Genomic DNA, 16434 nt, shown 5'->3' on the forward strand with positions numbered 1-16434 from the left:
GACAGAGTTTCGCTTTTGTTGTCCAGGCTGGAGTGTAATGGCACGATCTCAGCTCATCACAACCTCCACCTCCCGGGTTCAAGCGATTCTCCTGCCTCAGCCTCCCAAGTAGCTGGGATTACAGGCATGCGCCACCACGCCTGGCTAATTTTTTATTTTTAGTAGAGATGGAGTTTCTCCATGTTGGTCAGGCTGGTTTTGAACTCCCAACCTCAGGTGATCCGCCTACCTCGGCCTCCCAAAGTGCAGGGATTATAGGCGTGAGCCACTGCACCTGGTTTCATCTTAGTTTTTCTAAAAAAAAAAAAAGTGCCAGAATGAAAAATGCCACTCCTTGATCTTCACTGTATAGTGAAGTTGGACTGGTTGAGGACAGAAAGTGCTTATCGTATGGCTATAGGAAGTGGCCTTGGAGACTGCACCCACAGGAGGGGCAGGGGCAGGGGTAGGGGCAGGGGTGAAGTCACTCAGCTTCTCTGTGTGGCCTGGCCAGCCTCGGGCAACTTGTCAGCTCCATCCAGCCTCCACTGAGTGACACTTACTTTGTGCCGGGCACTGTGCTGGGCACAGAGAGGTAAGCCTAACCCTGGCCTCGGCAGGGTCTCAATGAGGGAGAGACACAGAAGCAGGTACCCCACACCTGGTACTAAGTACTTAGTCTGTTTTGTGCTGCCATAACAGAATGCCAGAGACTGGATCATTTATCCAGGGTTTTATTTACTCATGGTTCTGGAGGCTGAAAGTCCATCATCAAGGTACCAGCATCTAGTGAGGAGAGGAGAGATGCTGTGTCCTCACAGCGGAAGGCTGTGTGAAGCCTGTTTTATAGGAGCCTCCATCCTATAGATGAAGGGAGGAGCTCTCAATGACCTAATCAACTCTTAAAGGCCCCACCTCTTAATACGACCACATTGGCAGCACCTGAGGTTTGGAGGGGGCACATTCAAACCACGGTAGGTTGGAAAGGAGCCAGCATACCTCTCTTCGTCGTATTTGCTAACATCTGTCCCATTGTCCATATCAGTGCCCTACAGGCTGTTAAAAATGTTGAATATCACACTGCACACAGGTAATGGCACCAGCACACCATGCATTCCAGTAGTGGTAGGTCCTCAGTGGCATGGCGCAGGCACGCTAGGCACAGGGACCAAAATGTGTACATAGGATGGGGTGGGGCAGCCTCCTGAGGACAGCACAGCATAGCGAGGGATGAAAATATATATATCAATGACCGTCAGCCAGTGAGAAACATGGGAAGGGTCATAATAAAAATGTAAATTACTGGCCGGGCACAGTGGCTCACGCCTGTAGTCCCAGCACTTTGGGAGGCTGAGGTGGGTGGATCACAAGGTCAAGAGATTGAGACCATCCTGGCTAACGCGGTGAAACCCCGTCTCTACGAAAAATACAAAAAATTAGCTGGGCATGGTGGCACGTGCCTGTAGTCCCAGCTACTTGGGAGGCTGAGGCAGGAGAATTGCTTGAATCCGGGAGGCGGAGGTTGCAGTGAGCTGAGATCGTGCCACTGCACTCCAGCCTGGGCGACAGAGAGAGACTCCATCTCATAAAGAAAAAAAAATGGTAAATTACTGCCCATTCATCCATCCACCCATCTGTCTGTTCGTCCATTCATATGTCCATCTGGCAAACATGAAGTGAGTATCTACTATGTGTTGGGCACCATGTCTAATGTTGACTCCAAAGAAACAAGACTCCATTCCCATCCCTGAGGCTCAATGGAGACAGTTGTTTGTGCGATCTTGATGAAATTTGACATCGCCTTCAAAGAGGAAACTGTGCCTGCTGGTAAGTGTGTTAAGTGGGGATCAAGGAAGGCTTTGGGGTGTCAGTCTCTTTGAGAAGGGCCTCGAAAGGTGAAGATGGGCAGGATCCAGGTGGTGGAAGATGGTGAGGGAGGAACGGCAGGTCAGGCCGGGAGGAGGGTGTGTGTGAACAAAGCCAGGAAGGTGGGACCCCATAGAGAAGTTTGGGATTGGAGGGGAGTTGGGCTTGCCTGGAGAGCAGGGTCTTAGGTTCCCCATGGAGGAAGAGTGGGAATAATAGCTGACCCCCAAGTAGAGCTTGCCACGTGCCCAACCTTTTGTATCTACTACTACGCTTAACCCACACTCCAGCCCTATGAGGAGGAGCCATTTACCCCTCCTTTGCCTTCACAGTGAGGACACTCAGGCACACCTACCCAAGGTCCAACAGCTGGTGCCATCCCAGTGGCTCTGGGGTGGTCATATGGTTTGGCTCTGTGTCCCCATCCAAATCTCACCTTAAATTGTAATAATCCCCATGTGTTGTAGGAGGGGCGAGTGGGAGATAAATGAATCATGGAGGTGGTTTCCCCCATACTGTTCTCATGTAGTCTCATGAGATCTGATGGTTTTCTAAGGGGTTTCCCCTTTTGCTTGGTCTCTCATTCTCTCTTTCCTGATGCCATGTAAGACGTGCCTTTCACCTTCTGCCATGATTGTGAGGCCTCCCCAGCCACGTGGAGCTGTGAGTTCATTAAACCTCTTTTTCTTTATAAATTATGCAGTCTCAGTTATGTCTTGATCAGCAGCATGAAAGTGGACTAATACAGATGCAAACCCAGGTTTGTCTGGGCCTGCTTGCTCCTCTCAACCAGTCCGGGACAGCCCCAGGTGTAGGCCCTCAACAGGTGCTTTCCAAGGCTCCTTCACTGATGGCCACCATAGAAACAGTCGTTTGTCATCTCCCTTGGGATGCACTTGGCTTTGGGTCCCTCTGAGCTCTTGGACCACCCCTAGACACAGCTGAGCATTTCTTCCCTGCAGAGCGAGCAGGCCAACCCTAGAATGCAAAGCTCAGCCCCTCTCTGAGCCATGTCTCCTCTCTCAGCCCCTCACTCCCCGCTCTGAGAGAACACACCACTCTTCAAAAGAATTCTTTCTCCTTGTTACCTTCACTCCAAGGTTATCTGCTCAAGTATGTACCGAGTAAATGAAGTTGTTTGGCTTATGGATACAAATAGATACTGCTTTTTTGACTTGCAAAATGAATTCCACCGTGACTGGCTCAAACTTAAGTATGCTAATGCTCAATGAACCAGTTGTCTATTTATTTCTGTTTATGCCTGCAGACCCATTAGCAACTTTTTCTTGTTTTCTTTTAGAATATTAAACGGTTCCAACATATTCTAAAAATTAGTTGATTAGCTTGTTAGGGCACATTTTAACTGCTAGCTCCGCTGAACCAAAGGAGAAAATGAAGGTAATTTTGTTTGCAAGGAATGTATGATTTGGAGCTGACTGTTGAAAGATGTGCCACGTCAACGTAATGAGGGAGCGTAATATCTTAGTTTGCATCAATATGGAAATAACTGTGCGCTTTGACAGACCTGATGCTGAAGGCATCACCAGCCTGCTCATTATGCATTCCAGCTCTGATTATGAAAAATAGTGTGTTTTCCTTTAAAGAGGAATCTGCATTATCAATCAAACCACACCAATTATTTCAGAAAGGGATCACAGTGAAGTAGACATGGGGGCTTTTCAACTAGAACAGCACCGGATAAGCAGGCAGATCTTAGGGGGTGTGATATTTTTATTTCGTGACAGTTGTTAGTTTAATTAGGAACACTAATGAAGTATTTTGTGCAGTGGCACCCAGACAACCTGCTTTCCCTGCTATCATCTGGATCTTTATTATTTTGTTTTAATGAGCCCTGCCTTCAATAATATCAATGCACTTCTAATGATACCTCTCATGCAGGCTGATGATTCCAGTGTTCTTCTCACAGGGTTGTCATGTCAGGGAAACATGGAAAGGAAGGGAGGTGAAAAGAGACAATAGGAAAACCGTAGGCTGTGACGGGAAAAAATGAAACAGGTATGAAAACAAAACGATGCTCATTGCAACATAAAGTGTTTCTTTTCATTTTGTGTGTGTGTGTGTGTGTGTGTCGGCGGGGGTGAGTGGGTGTGCAGTCTGTCTGCGTGTGGCATGTTGGATTGAAGGTTACACACTTATTATTTTTATTCTGACCTTGCAGATGAGTGAGAAGAAAAGTCCAAGAGCCAGGATGACGGCGCAGTGATGGCTCACTTTGCGTTGCTGTTCCGTCCACTGTTCCACTGACTGTGAACTCTGTCAGAGGTGACAGGTCTTGTTTATCTTTAGAGGCATCCCGGTGGGTTACCCTCAGGACCTGATGCACAGTTGGCATCAGAAACTGTTTGCTGAATGACTGAAAGAGCGTTCTCCTCTTAGTTTGAAACCTATAGCTAGATGTACTTGGGGAGCATACAAAGACATGCGTTTTCTTGAACAAAACACAATAAAAAACTAATAAGAGGTACGGGGGACATTGAATAAGTATGCAGGAATTGGACTGGCCTGGACACACTCACCTGGTGGCCTCAGCCACGTTGCATCATTTTTCCAAACCTCCATTTCCTGTAGAATGAGCGGAGGTGTGAATTAGTGACAACATACCTAAGGTATCTGGTGCGTGGATGGCATTCCTTCCTGGCAGGTCATCGCTCAGTAAATATTTGTTGAATGAATGAATTGGGGAAAGAATGGAGAGAAGATCTTGGTCATCTTCCTCTTAAATTCCCATAACTGTTAGGGTCGTGTTGTTGCAGGAACTGCTGGGTGGTCTTGGTGGCAGGGGTGGGGAGGGGATACATCCCCCAAAACACTCCAAGATGGATCCCAGAGAAAGCTCAGTCCGAGCACCCTCTCTGCATCCAAACCCTAGTGCCTCCCGCTCCTGGGTCTTCCCTGCCTGTTGCTCCCCTTTATAGCCACACTGAGCCCCATCCTGGCATTGGGTGGGCTTCTAGCTGTGGGCCAGGTGGCAGTGCCTCCTCAAACACAGCCTTGCTTCTACCCTGAGTAGGTCATGGTGGAGTTGGGATTCCCTACTCCCAGGGTGCAGCTGCTGGGACGCAGGCTGGGGCAGCACTGGAAGCTCTAGGGGATGAACCAGGGGTCTGGATCCCAGACACCCTGGGGAAAAAGGCAGGGGCTTGTTTGGGGAGAGCTGGTGCTGGGAGCTTGAAACCTGATGGCCTTACACAAGGCCTTCTGCAGGCCCCTGGGCCATTGCCCAATTTCCTATACTTGTTCATGCTTTCACAAATGCATTTGTTCATACAATCTGCACAGAATGCAGCAAGTAAGGCTTGAGTTCTGCCCTCCAGGGACTTGCAGTCTAGCAGGAGGAATAAGACAAACTCTATAATCTAAGTTAGAAATGATGGGGCCGGGTGTGGTGGCTCATACCTGTGATCCCAGCACTTTTGGGAGGCTGAGGTGGGCAGATCACCTGAGGTCAGGAGTTTGAGACCACTGTGGCCAACATGGTGAAACCCCGTCTTTACTAAAAATACAAAAATTAGCTGGGCGTGGTGGCGGGTGCCTGTAATCCCAGCTACTCGGGAGGCTGAGGCAGGAGAATCGCTTGAACCTAGGAGGCAGAGGTTGCAGTGAGCTGAGATAGTGCACCACTGCACTCCAGCCTGGGTGACAAGAGCAAAACTTTGTCTAGAAAAGAAATAAAAGTTAGAAATGATCAGTGCACTACACAGCACTGCTCCAGTGCCACATGGGTTCTGAACATGGAGGGATCACAGGCAGCTGGGGGAAATCTGAGAGGGCTTCTTGGAAGAAGTGGCATTTTATTTATTTGGCAACAGCATTTCCCGAGCACACCTCTTGCAGCTCCCTACTTCCTGCAAGCCTGGGGCTACCAGGTCTCTGCTCTTATGGAGCTTGTGAAATAGCAGAGGTGACGTGCAGAGGCAGACAATGAGCGAGCCAACAAGTACCTGGAAGGGACACTGTGCGGAGAGCAGTAAGTGCAGGGAAGGAAAGTGTCCTGGGCTTTGACAAATGTGTAGAGCCCGGTCCCTGGAGAAGAGGAGCCCGGGGCACCCCCGGCAGAGTGTAATGAGGGAACAGGCAGGGAGGGGTGCAGGGGAGGGAAAGAGAGAGAATCCAGGGAGGGTGAGTACGGTTGGAGTGAGCTTGGATGCCAGGCTAAGGAATCACCTGGCGAGCAGCAGGGAACCAGAGCAGGCTACGGAGCAGGGGAGGGAGTGGCACGATGAGAACCAGCTGTGCCTTAGGAAGCACAGCTGAGCAGCAGTTGTAGGGTGAGGCTGGAGGTGGAGAGACACCCCAGGTGGGTCCTGTGAGGAGGGGGTGACCACTGGGAGTGTGTGGAGTCATCTGAATGCGGAGGGCAGGGGTCTTCCAGAGGGGTAAGGACCAGGCAAATGATGCAGTGTCCGGGAGGTGAGAAGGGGGTCAGGGTACAGATGCAGAAACAGAGTGGGGAGATGCAGACAGCTAAGGATGGAGCATTTCAGCAACAGGACTGTGGCCGCCCTTCGGCAGCATCTTTCCCATTCTGATCTTACCCGGGCTCAGGTACCCCAGGATGGACAGGCCAGGAATGGGAGGCAGACACTTCTCAATGGGCCGCTGTGGGAGCCAGGCCCTGAGGCATGGTTTCCCAGCACCCGCCCCCTCTGTGGCCACATCTGCACTATGCCTGGAATGAGTGGGTTTTTGGTAGGGTTGCCAGATTCAGCAAATAAAAATACAGAATGCCCAGTAAAATTTGAACTTCAGAAAAACAACAAAAGATTTTATAGTGTAAGTATGACCCATGCAATATTTGGGATATGCTTAGACAAAAAAATTATTCATTGTTTATCTGAAATTAAAATATCTGAAATTAAAATTTAACTGAAGGTCCTGTATTTCATATTGTAACTCTACTTTTTTTTTTTTTTTTTTTTTGAGACACGGTCTCACTCTCTTGCCCAGACTGGAGTGCAGTGAGTGGCATGATCTCAGCTCACTGCAACCTCTGCCTCCCAGGCCCAAGCGATTCTCCTGCCTCAGCCTCCCGAGTAGCTGGGATTACAGGCACGTGCCACTATGGCCTGGCTAATTTTTGTAGTTTTAGTAGAGAAAGGGTTTCACCATGTTGGCCAGGCTGGTCTTGAACTCCTGACCTCAAATGATCCACCTGCCTCGGCCTCCCAAAATGCTGGGATTACAGGCATGAGCCACTGGGCCCAGCCTGTAACTCTACTCTTTGGTACAACCTATATGCCAGCCATGTCCCAAGAAATAGTATTTCTGTCCATGTGTGCATGTGTGTGTGTATAGGAGAGAGAACTAATTTTACTAGCTTTTGGAATAGATACAACAAAAAAATCAGAATGAGTCAGCTTTGAAGCTGTCTTGTCAAATGGACACTGAGCTGCTTTCCTCATGTTAAGCCCGATTGGCTTGGGGGACCCCATGCCTTGGACGGTGCATCTGCTTAGAGGATGGTGACTGCGGATCCCTCGTTGACACCTCCTTCTTTCCATGGGCAGTGGCAGCCCCGCCTCAGGGTGGAGTCTGACAATGTCTCAGGATACTGCCGAGTTCTAGTTTCTAACCAGCAAGAGCCCCGAATGGGGGTGGACGTCTGGCTTCCCCACGCCCGCCCTGGAAATATGAAGTGCTGGCGATGGTGTAGGAGCTCAGGCGAGGTCTCCTGTGTCACGCTGTAATTTGTACGGAAGGGAAGCAGGATCCCATTGGGCTGTCAGCTGAGTGTCAAGACACCTGGCAGAGCTGGCCCTGGGGGGACATTGACATGTCCTTGGCTCCTGCCTGGGTTCATCCTTCCACTGAGACGCTGCGGGCAAAACTGCTTCTTGAGGCTTCCAGGCAAGCCTCCCTGGCCTGCTGCCACTACCGAGAAGAATAAAAAGGTGGACTTCACAATGGATCCCTTTGGTCTGGGGTGCTGTGTGGAGTGTGAAGCCCCTGGCAGTGGGTGCTGACGGTGGGCATCTCCTGGCCCTTGAGGACTCCGCACCGAAGTTCTGGGGAGGTGGGCGATAGCTTCATGGGCACCGCTCCCTCGAGGCCTTCCTGCTGAAGAAATAAGGCACATCGAGCCCTGCTCTAGAAAGCACCATACTGCTGTCAGATAACCAAATCGACCTTCCCCTCCTACCCTGAACTCTGCCGCCATCTCGCTCCAAAACTTGCCAGGAGTCAGTTGTGGGGAGCACAAGGGTGGGATCGGAGCGGACCAGCAAGTGCTGAGTTTTTACTGGGAACCCCACTAAGCCGAGATGTAAATTCCTCAATGTAGCGGGGAGATTTCTTTTTTCATCGATACATAATATTTGCACATATTTAGGGGTGCATGTGTTATTTTTACATGCATTGAATGTGGAATGATAAGTCAGGGTATTTAGGGTGTCCATCACCTCAAGTATTTATCATTTCTATATGCGGGGAACATTTCAAGTTCTCTCTTCTGTCTGTTTTGAAATATATAACCCTGGTATGCTATTGAACATTAGAACTGATTCCTTCTATCTAACTGCATTTTTGTAACTATTGCCCAACCTTTTTTCATCCTCTCCCCACTTCTCAGCCTCTGGCAACCACTATTCTACTCTCTACCTCCATACGATCCATGTGGTTTTTTTTTTTCTTTTTCTTTCTTTTTTCCTCCAACATGTAAGTGAGAATGTGCAGTATTTGTCTTTCTGTGCCTGGCTTATTTTACTTAACATAATGGCCTCCAGCTCCATCCACAGTTGCTACAAATGACAAGATTTCATTATTTTCATGGCTGAATGTATTCCATTCTGCATCTAGACCACATTTCTTTATCCATTTATCCCTTGATGGACACTTAGATTGAGTCCATATTTTTGCTATGGTGAATTGTGCTGTATGGGAGCACAGGTATCCTTTGATATACTGGCTTTTTTTCCCATTTGAATAAATACCCAGTAGTGGGATTGCTGGCTTACACGGTAGTCCTATTTTTAGTTTTTGAGACATCATCTCCATACTGTTTTCCATAGTGACTGTACTAATTGACATTCTTTCTAACAGTGTATTAAGAGTTCCCTTTTCTCTGCATCCTTACCAGCATCCCTGTTAGTTTTTGTCCTTTTAAATAGCCATTCTGGCTGGGGTGAGATGATATCTCATTGTGGTATTGAGTTGCATTTCCCTGATGATTAGTGCCGATGAGCATTTTTTCATATAGCTGTCGGCCATTTGTATGTCTTCTTTTGAGAAATGCCTATTCATGTCTTTTGCCCACTTTTTTTTCTTTTTTTTTTTTTTGAGTCGGAGTCTTGCTCTGTCACCCAGGCTGGAGTGCAGTGGTGCAATCTCGGCTCACTGCAAGCTCCGCCTCCCAGGTTCACGCCATTCTCCTGCCTCAGCCTCCCCAGCGGCTGGGACTACAGGTGCACGCCACCACACCTGGCTAATTTTTTTGTATTTTTAGTAGAGACGGGGTTTCACCGTGTTAGCCAGGATGGTCTCGATCTCCTGACCTTGTGATCCGCCTGCCTCAGCCTCCCAAAATGCTGGGCTTACAGGCATGAGCCACTGCACCCGTCCTTTTGCCCACTTTTTAATAGGGTCATTGGGTTTTTTACTGTTGAGTTGTTTGAGTTCCTTGTGTATTCTGGGAATTATTCCCTGCCAGATGCAGCAAATGCTTTCTCCCACTCACAGGTTGTCTCTTCACTCTGTTGATGGTTTCCTTTCCTGTGCAGAAGCTTCTTACCTTAGTATAGTCCGTTTGTCTATTTTTTGTTTTCGTTGCCCATGCGTTTGAGATATTAGCCATAAAATCTCTGTCTAGACTAAAGTCCTGAAGTGTTTTCCCTGTGTTTTCTTCTAGTAGTTTTATAGTTTCAGGTCTTATGTTTAAGTGCTTAATCCATCTTGAGTTGATTTTTATATACGGCGAGAGATAGTGGTCCAGTTCCATTCTTCTGCATATGGATATCCAGTTTTGGGGTGGGGGGGATTTCTTTTAAAAGAAAGGTGGGGCTGGGCATGGTAGCTCATGCCTGTAATCCTAGCACTTTGGGAGGCCAAGGTGGAAGGGTTGCTTGAAGCCAGGGGTTTGAGACCAGACTATGCACACAGCAAGACCTTGTCTCTGTAAAAAATTTAAAAAATTATAATAGCTGGTCATGATGACATGTGCCTGTAGTCCCAGCTACTAGGAAGGCTGAAGCAGGAAGATCACTTGAACCCAGGAGTTGGTGGCTGCAGTGAACTATGATCATGGCACTGCACTCCAGCCTGGGTGACAGAGAGCAAGACCCTTTCTTTAAAAAGAGGGAGAGAGGCTGGGCACAGTGGCTCACACCTGTAATCCCAGCACTTTGGGAGGCTGAGGCCGGCAGATCACCTGAGGTCAGGAGTTTGAGACCAACCTGGCCAACATGGCGAAAGCTCGTCTCTACTAAAAGTACAAAAATTAGCCGGGTATTGTGGTGTATGCCTGTAATCCCAGTTACTCGGGAGGCTGAGGCGGGAGAATCACTTGAGGTGGAGGTTGCCATGAGCCCAGATAGTGCCATTGCACTCCAGCCTGGGTGACAGAGTGAGACTGTGTCTCAAAAAATAAAAAATAAAAATAAAAAATAAAATAAAAAGAGAAGAGAGAGAGAAAGGTGGGTTGGCATGGTGATTTCCTTCCTCAAAATTCAAAAGAGCAACATGCTCAGGCTGGCTCTGGATGAGCCAGGGATGATCTTAGTCCAGGGAGTGAGGTGGGGCAGGAAGAAGGTAGATTTTCAGAGCCAGCCAGACCTGGGTGTGAGTCCCCTGATTCTACGTCATGACTTGACAACTTTGGGGCAAGTGCTTGACCTCTGTGGGTCTCAGTTTCCACATCTCTAACGGTAATAGCACATTGAGGTAGGCATATAGCTCATTGCAGCCACTCAATTAATGCAGAGCACCTGCTCTGTGCAAGTGCTGCTTTAAGTGCTTTGCATGTATTAACTCATCTAATTCTCACAATAATCCTATGGCTGTGATTATACCCATTTTGCAGATGAGGAAACTAGAGGAGAGGTGTTAATTGTCTTTCCCCTTGTGAATTACGATCTGGTAGCAGGCACTGATACATATACTAATCCCTGCGGATGGGCAGGGGACGGCGGCGGGGGGATGGTCAGTGGCATCAAAAGGCTATGAAAGGCACTGGGAGAAAGAGAGGTGGGATTCACTTAGATTAGGGATGGGTAGGAAGGCTTCTTGGTGCTGGTGGGTCTTCACAGGGCCTTGAAGTTCCAAAAGAATGTTACTGGGTGGAGAGCTGAAGAGGGTGTTTCAGACAGAGCATAAGCAACGGCTGGCGGCAGGAGGACGAGGGCGTGTGGAAGGAGTGGCCATCCTGCTGAGCTGCAGCTGGGTACGGGCTGTGTATACGTGTTTGTGTGTGTGTGTTTGTGTGTGCATGTATATATGTTTTTGTGTGTGTATGAGTATCTGTGTGTGCGTATGTATATATGTATGTATGTGCAAATGTTTGTGTATGCATGTGTGTTTATACGTGCATGTATATGTGTGTGTGTGTGTGTGTGTGTGTTGTTGTTGTTGTGGGGGATGGAAGAGGTTGAAAGCGGAGCCAAGTCCTTTGAGTTTTATTCTGTGGAAAGTGGTATATCTCCCGGGTGCAGGCTCTGAACCTAACCTGCTTTTTAACTCTCCATTATTGGATCTGTCCATCTTGTTAATAAGACGTTTTAATGCCAGTGAACGTGTGCCCTTTCTGATCATGATGGACCGCTGAACTTGACATTTAATGGAAAACAGAGCCCAGGCCTGAGAGACGGTGAGTGAGACGGGCACATGTTCTCACAGAGGCTGTCCTGTGGCTGTGTGGACAGGGCTGGCCTGTTTCAGGGACGGTGTCAGGGCTCGGCTGAGCCTGTCGGTGGAGACAGCCCCATTGCTGCACACCAGCACGGGACTGTGCTGAGGAGATTCTGGCATCTCCCATAGTTTGCTGACATGTCACCCCTGCTGGGAAGTTTAAGGGACGTGTGTAGAAGTGGCTGTAACAGAAGATGAAACATGCCTCGTGTCCTGAAGGGTGCCTGTGAAGTGCTGTGGGGGAGGATGTCCTGTCCCTCTGGGGTCTGAGGGAAAGGCCCTATGGAGCAGGTGGCCCCAGAGCTGCCTCTTAGGGTGGGGCAACCATTCTAGAAGATGGAAGCAGCTTGAGCAAGATTCATTGGCCAAATGGGGTGGCCGTCAGCCAGTGGAGCACATAGACCCCATGAGACAAGTGTCCAAAGGGGAGAAGGGAGAGGGTTGGTAAAGGGGGAGAGCTGGGAGGCTCCTGGGGAAGGGGGCTTGTCTAGGGGAGGGGAATGCAGGTGTGATCCAGGAGAGAAGGCTTCTTATCACAGCCACCCTGAGGTCAGGATTTCTCAGCGGCCTCTGAGGACCCTGGGAAAAGGGAGGAGCAAGCGGGTGGGCCAGGGGGCTCAGGCTGCAAGCAACAGAAACTCATTGCCGACCTAAGCACAAGGGGAGTGATTGGAAAAGCATCTGGGCGCAGTGGGAAGCCTGGAGACCTGGCTTGGCAATAGGCGGAAATCATGGAAGCTGGTTGAGGGGAAGGGAGCGCACTGCGATGGAAGCAGACCTGTGGGAGTAGCCTCTTGGCAGGAATGCTGGGATCTCCATCCATTCCTGGATGCCTGGCTCCCAGCTCAAGCTCTGCACTCAGCGAGGGCTCAGCCTAAGAGCCCTTGGCTTGGTGAAGGCAGGGTCCTGCCTACAATCCCACAGGTAAAGTAATTTCCCTCAGGGAGACTGGAATGCTCTTTGGAAGGCAAATGGGAGCTGGTTGGCCTTAAAGCACCAGAGTTCATTATACACCTACCTGGATGGAGAGCCTGAGGCCCACACCCAAAAAACTGGGCTGGCAGGTGAGGCAATCTCAGTTATTTTGGGAGTTCTGCCCCCTTCCTAGATTCCCCAAGGGAGATTTCTGTTTTTAAAACGTGGCTTTCTGTTTTTAAAACAGTCCTAATTACCCAAGAAAACTTTACAGTGAATGTGTTATCTGTCCCAGTCAGTGTCAGGATGATGGACACATGGATGCTGGACTTTCTGCTTCCCCATCTGACACCTGTTGCCTGTCAGGCTTCCTTTGTTCTGGTGCATCATAATCCACACTTCTTTCATTGATCTCAATTCTACACGTGGCACGCAAAGGCCTTTCTTTGCTGCAGATCTACAGAACTCCGAGTAAACAGCCAAAACATTATTCAGTTAATTTGATTGACACAGACATCTACTGTGAGCCACTAACACCAGAAGCAGGGTGTGGCACAGATCTTCAGAGCTGGATCTTAAGTGTCTTACAGAATGACCCCCTGAGCTCAGCAGATTTCCCAGAACATGGCCAAGTGTTTACTCCTGTGTAGATTGAATTTCTGCAAGGGAGATTCACTCTGGGTATGGAGATAGAAACGAGATCCAGGGTTAGAGTCTGCAGGGAAATACTTCAACCTGCATTGAGTCTGTGATTTTGGCAATATCTGATGTGGTGAGAAGAGTCATAGATGACCATTCTATGGCCTTAATTTCATTGTCAAGGGGGTGAGCATCTCTAAATGTGCCTTTTTTTCTCTTCTAAATGAATTCTTCACTTACGGTCATATGTGATAAGTGACAAAATAATACACCAATGTTTTATGCAGAAAGTTCCTTTTTTGTTTTTTGTTTTGGTAACATTCCAGTTACCAAGAATATGACCAGCAGGGACAGGTTTTCCTCCACCTTTAAGGGTGACCCTCAGAGTCCACATGCCCCCACTGGCTGTTGGTTTAGGGCTCTGGGCGGGGCTGCCAGGCACCCCCTACACTACAGGAAGCTTACATCCTAGTAGCACCAGGCCCATAATGCTCAGGAGGGAACTGTTCCCAAGCCCTCTGAGGCAGCAGCAGAGACAGGACAAAGTTTCAGCGGGTTTTAACAAGAATCTCCCAGCATCAGCCACGATTCCACCAGGAATACATGTGCTTCATGAGAACTGCAATAAAAGCTGGGAAAATATGACAAGTTATGATAGACAGAGCCATACAAAAATGACAAGCCATGTGACAAGATGGTATTTTGGGGTTGGGGAGAGAGTTAGAAATAATTACAGCGTTCCTACCCCTCTCGCCGCGCCACTGGGGGCTTGTGTGTGTAGATCGAAGGGAAGGGGGAATCGTTTGACTCTAATTTCAAGCCTTGTTCCTGTAATGGTTCCTTGTGGAATGCTGTTAAATAATGATAATTATTACAGAGCCCTGTGCTTTGAGCCACTCTTGTCAACTGCAGCTGCGTCCTGCAGGGTTTGCTACTTCCCTCCGAGACTGGTTTGTGAGGCTGATCTAAGATGTTTGCAGATTATTTCTTCTTAAATTTTCTAAGGATCATTTGAGTAGGAGTCACGAGATGAACACAGATATCTTGAGTTTGGCTTTGTAGGTCCAACATTTCATAGTTATGGAAAGGTAGGTGCGCATAGATTAATACACAACCCAGCCCCCAGTGGTGTGACCTGTGAAAATGTTATTCACTCCTTCAACCCATCAACTTCACTCCATTCAAATGCTTATGATTTTACCATGAGTTAAACTCTGCTCTGTGCCAGGATGGAGTGGCGAATCGGACATACGTTCCCCCTCTGGAAGTTCATGTAAAAGAAAATCACTGAGTGTAATACTGTGGAAGGCATGATAATAAAGACACGCACACTGGGCTTAGGCACAGGAGGGTGGATTGCCACGTCAACCTGGAGTGACAGGGATTTGTTTAAAGGCAGAGGACGCAGGAGCTGGGACCTGAAGGCTATGTAGGAGTTAGACATGAAGTCTGTTCCAGGCAAGAGGGTTTTATGAGTCACAACGTGGAGGCACATAAGCAAATTGCATGTTTAGGGAGGGATTAGAGGGACAAGATGGCTGAAAGAAGGCAAGACCCTATTTTTAATTCTAAAACAATTGTTTTTCTGATTATAGCAATAATGTTTAAAGACAATTAGGGTAAAAATCTTGGTTGGCCTATATTTTCTCTTCATGCCTCTCCTCTCCCCTACCTCCTTCTTTGGATGTACTTCTTTCTATTTGTTTCTCTCTCCTTTCCTCTTTCTCCAGAAGCAGGATGAAGTTGAATGTATAGTTTATATCCTTGCATCACTAATTGCATTATGAACATTTCCCATTTCCTATATATACTCTTTTCTCTCTCTCTCTCTCTTTTTTTTTTTTTTTTCTTCGAGACAGGGTCTCACTCTGTCGCCCAGGCTGGAGTTCAATGGCGTGATCTTGGCTCACTGCAACCTCTACCTCTCAGGCCCAAGCAATCTTCCTGCCTCAGCCTCCTAAGTAGCTGGGACTACAGGCTTGTGCCACCATGCCCAGCTAATTTTTGTGTTTTTAGTAGAGACAGGGTTCCGCCATGCTGCCCAGGCTGGTCTTGAACTCCTAATCTCAAGTGATCCACTCTCCTTGGCCTCCCAAAGTGCTGGGATGAGAGGCATGAGCCACCCCACCAGGCCCATATGTATTATTTTTAATGATTTTTAATATTTCACCTTATGGATATGCCAGAATTTTCTAAACTATTTCTATATTGTTGTGCATTTCATTTGTTTTCAGTTTTGTGCCTTATAAATAACACTGTGGTGAACACTAAAATAAAAATTTCTGCCCCCATTTCTGATGATTTCCTTGAGATAAATCCCTAGAAGTCTAGAAGTGAAATTAAAGGGTATGAATATTCCTAAGTTTCTTGATACATGTTGTCAGTTGATTTCTTTTAAAAAAATAGCTTATACTTAGAAAAAAGAGAAGCCCATCTCTTTATCTTCCAGGTAAAGATGGCAGATTGAACACACTAATTTTGTTCCTCTACCCCCTGCTTCAGTAGGGAGATTTTTTTGAAACTCATAAACTTTCAAGAACATGAGAGGAGAACAGCAGCACAGTCTGGGAGTCTGAGCAACAGATGGACGAGTGGTAACTGCTTTAGCAGATTTGGGAAGGCTGAATCCCCAGCTGGTGGTTGAGAAAATGGAAAATCAACTCCATGTACGCAGCTGAATCCTCAAAACACGCAGGAGTGGGTGGCACCAGGTGAGTCTCGGGGATGCTGAGAGTTGTTTCAGAAACAGTCAGGTCCCTAGTTCTGCTTCTTCGCTCTGTTGGCTGGGCCAGGGGTGGTTCCCCTCACCCCGTGCCTTGCATAAGTTTGCACATTATTCTCTGGAGAAGGTGAAGTTGGGCAATGCTGCCGTGGGACATCAGGTGCAGCAGAGGATCGGATAAGGACTTGGGAACCCCAATGGGCTAAGGGAGCCTATGTAGAGTGGATGCTGGTACCCCCAGTTCTCTCCCCCTAGACCCTTGGAATGCTCATACCCAGGCTGGGCCTCCAGGCTGGGGACTTAAGAAATCTTCCTTATGGAGGTTGTCCTGCACAAGAGCAAAGACTGTGAAGAGATGAATGCGCAGGTGTTTAGATGGACATGTATAGGGAAGTTCATAGTAGTCATTCCCTACTCACATACTTGGAGTTTCTAAACAGATTCTGAGTTCCTCA

The 16434-nt window shown here is 48.1% G+C and overlaps 1 long non-coding RNA gene across 1 annotated transcript, besides 4 other annotated features; it reads left to right on the plus strand.

Moving 5' to 3' along the window:
- Positions 3756–4955: an enhancer, noted in NCBI's record as "P300/CBP strongly-dependent group 1 enhancer chr10:126951644-126952843 (GRCh37/hg19 assembly coordinates)". NCBI's record gives its function as "activates an origin of replication core promoter dependent on BRD2, BRD4, P300/CBP, MED14 and CDK7 cofactors, with strong dependence on P300/CBP, by STARR-seq in HCT116 cells {active_cell/tissue: HCT116}" and the evidence as "EXISTENCE:reporter gene assay evidence [ECO:0000049][PMID:35650434]".
- On the plus strand, positions 3778–15953 carry LOC105378542 (uncharacterized). Its single transcript, XR_946435.2, has 3 exons — positions 3778–3861; positions 4025–4128; positions 15760–15953. It is a non-coding gene; the product is annotated as an uncharacterized LOC105378542 (long non-coding RNA).
- Positions 4301–4595: an enhancer, noted in NCBI's record as "tiled region #1286; HepG2 Activating non-DNase unmatched - State 22:ReprW". NCBI's record gives its function as "activates a minimal TATA promoter and a strong SV40 promoter by Sharpr-MPRA in HepG2 cells {active_cell/tissue: HepG2}" and the evidence as "EXISTENCE:reporter gene assay evidence [ECO:0000049][PMID:27701403]".
- Positions 7191–7692: an enhancer, noted in NCBI's record as "H3K4me1 hESC enhancer chr10:126955079-126955580 (GRCh37/hg19 assembly coordinates)". NCBI's record gives its function as "activates a minimal SCP1, AML or CMV promoter by ChIP-STARR-seq in naive H9 embryonic stem cells {active_cell/tissue: H9 hESC(naive)}" and the evidence as "EXISTENCE:reporter gene assay evidence [ECO:0000049][PMID:30033119]".
- Positions 7693–8192: an enhancer, noted in NCBI's record as "H3K4me1 hESC enhancer chr10:126955581-126956080 (GRCh37/hg19 assembly coordinates)". NCBI's record gives its function as "activates a minimal SCP1, AML or CMV promoter by ChIP-STARR-seq in naive H9 embryonic stem cells {active_cell/tissue: H9 hESC(naive)}" and the evidence as "EXISTENCE:reporter gene assay evidence [ECO:0000049][PMID:30033119]".
- Positions 15954–16434: the final 481 nt, after the last annotated feature.

The sequence above is a fragment of the Homo sapiens genome, chromosome 10 (assembly GCF_000001405.40).
Source record: "Homo sapiens chromosome 10, GRCh38.p14 Primary Assembly".
In the NCBI taxonomy this organism is placed as follows: domain Eukaryota; kingdom Metazoa; phylum Chordata; class Mammalia; order Primates; family Hominidae; genus Homo; species Homo sapiens.